The following is a 1569-nucleotide window of genomic DNA, read 5'->3' as shown; positions in this document are numbered from 1 at the left end:
TGTTCAACAATAGGAAGGCAGAACTATTTGGACAAAGATGGAAACACACGTAACGTTATTCCATTGTCCTCTCCTGTACCTCCTGCTCTATCCCCTGCTCCCCCTCTGCTCCCCAGCAGCCTGCATTCCCTTCTTTGCCTGTACTGCTTCAGGCCTTGGCTTAGACATTGTGTCCTTCTAGGAGCCCTCCCTAGCCTAGGCTCAGTGCCCCTCCTGCTTGGTTTTCTGTCTTTGTCATCCCCACGGCTGCCCCGAGCTTTATGGAAGCACCACTATGTCTCTATTGTTATTTGCTGTGGTTCTAGCCCCAGAACTTCTGCTTGGTTCCTGGAAGATGTACAATAAAAACTTGTTGAATGAACAAAAATCACAAATCCTCCATAGATATACAGTAGCATCCCCATATTTTTAGGCAAGTGCCTTTCTTCCTAGCCAAAAAGCAAGCAAGAAAGCAAACAAACAAAAACCACCCTAGAAGTGAAGCCGAGAAGGAACTGGCTTAATTCAGATAGGGCTCAATATCAACCAAGGTGCTACTTTCTATTGACATCTGTACATAATCCCAAAATTGGAACCCAAATTAGAAAGAATAAGAAAGACAAACCAACAATCAGGAGATGGTGCTCAAAGGACCTAAACTGGCTTTCTGGTAACAAGAGCCAGCTCCCTGCTACAGACACGCCTCAGAACACAGGCTGGCCCTTGGCATGTGCTCACAGGGAGGGAGGGAGACGAACACTTGCTGAGGGCCCAACACACACCAGGCCCTCCACAGGCCATCCCATTTTTCTCACAACCCTCTAAGGTAGAATGGGTATGCTGTTTGTAGGAACATGCAACAAGGCTATAATATGATGTGTTAACTAATAAGCCCCAGTGGCTAAACACAATAGAAGATCATTTCTCACCCATGCAAAGTGTGCTGTGGGCCCTGCCCTGCACAGCTTTCCTCCAGGCAGTGACTCTGGGACCTAAGCTCCCTGGTGTGACTCCGCCAACTTCGAGTCCTTCATTTCCATTCTTAATGATCTCTCACCTGCAATTCCCTTGAGAGCAAGAACATGCTATTCCAACTAGTCGCTTACTTCTTCCTCAATTCGTAGGTATCTAATGGTTTCTTTGCCTTTTGTCTGATGAGGTCTCTTCCTCCTCCAGATGGCCCAACTGGATAGATGCCAAGACAATGCCACTGGCTTTCTCCCTAACATGACTCATGTCTGGTCCATGGCAGACATCTACATACCCTTTGTTCTGAAAAATTTGGGAAATGCAGGCCATCCAGCATAGCCACCACTCCCTTATTTTGCCATCAAACAAAGTAGCCATTTCTTGACCTTTGTATTTTCTGGGATGGAGTCAGACCCGTCTACTCTGTTTTCCAGATGCAGAGGATGCATAACAAACTGCCAAGTTGGTCTCGTGGAAGGCCCTCCCTCTTTAGATGAAGGGTTCCCCCATCCCTGACCCTTGACGGAGGTGGGACTCACAGTACAATAACAGCAACAGCAATCTCTGAAAAATTCCCTTCTCTCCTAATTTCTAACTCTCATTTATGTGATCATAGATGCA

At 46.7% G+C, this 1569-nt stretch overlaps 1 annotated feature.

The window, feature by feature from the left end:
- Positions 275–875: an enhancer, noted in NCBI's record as "H3K27ac-H3K4me1 hESC enhancer chr14:56166391-56166991 (GRCh37/hg19 assembly coordinates)". NCBI's record gives its function as "activates a minimal SCP1, AML or CMV promoter by ChIP-STARR-seq in primed H9 embryonic stem cells {active_cell/tissue: H9 hESC(primed)}" and the evidence as "EXISTENCE:reporter gene assay evidence [ECO:0000049][PMID:30033119]".

Source organism: Homo sapiens, chromosome 14, assembly GCF_000001405.40.
Source record: "Homo sapiens chromosome 14, GRCh38.p14 Primary Assembly".
Classification (NCBI taxonomy): Eukaryota; Metazoa; Chordata; class Mammalia; order Primates; family Hominidae; genus Homo; species Homo sapiens.
Note: the sequence above shows the minus strand (reverse complement) of the source record. Positions and strands in the feature narration are given on the sequence as shown.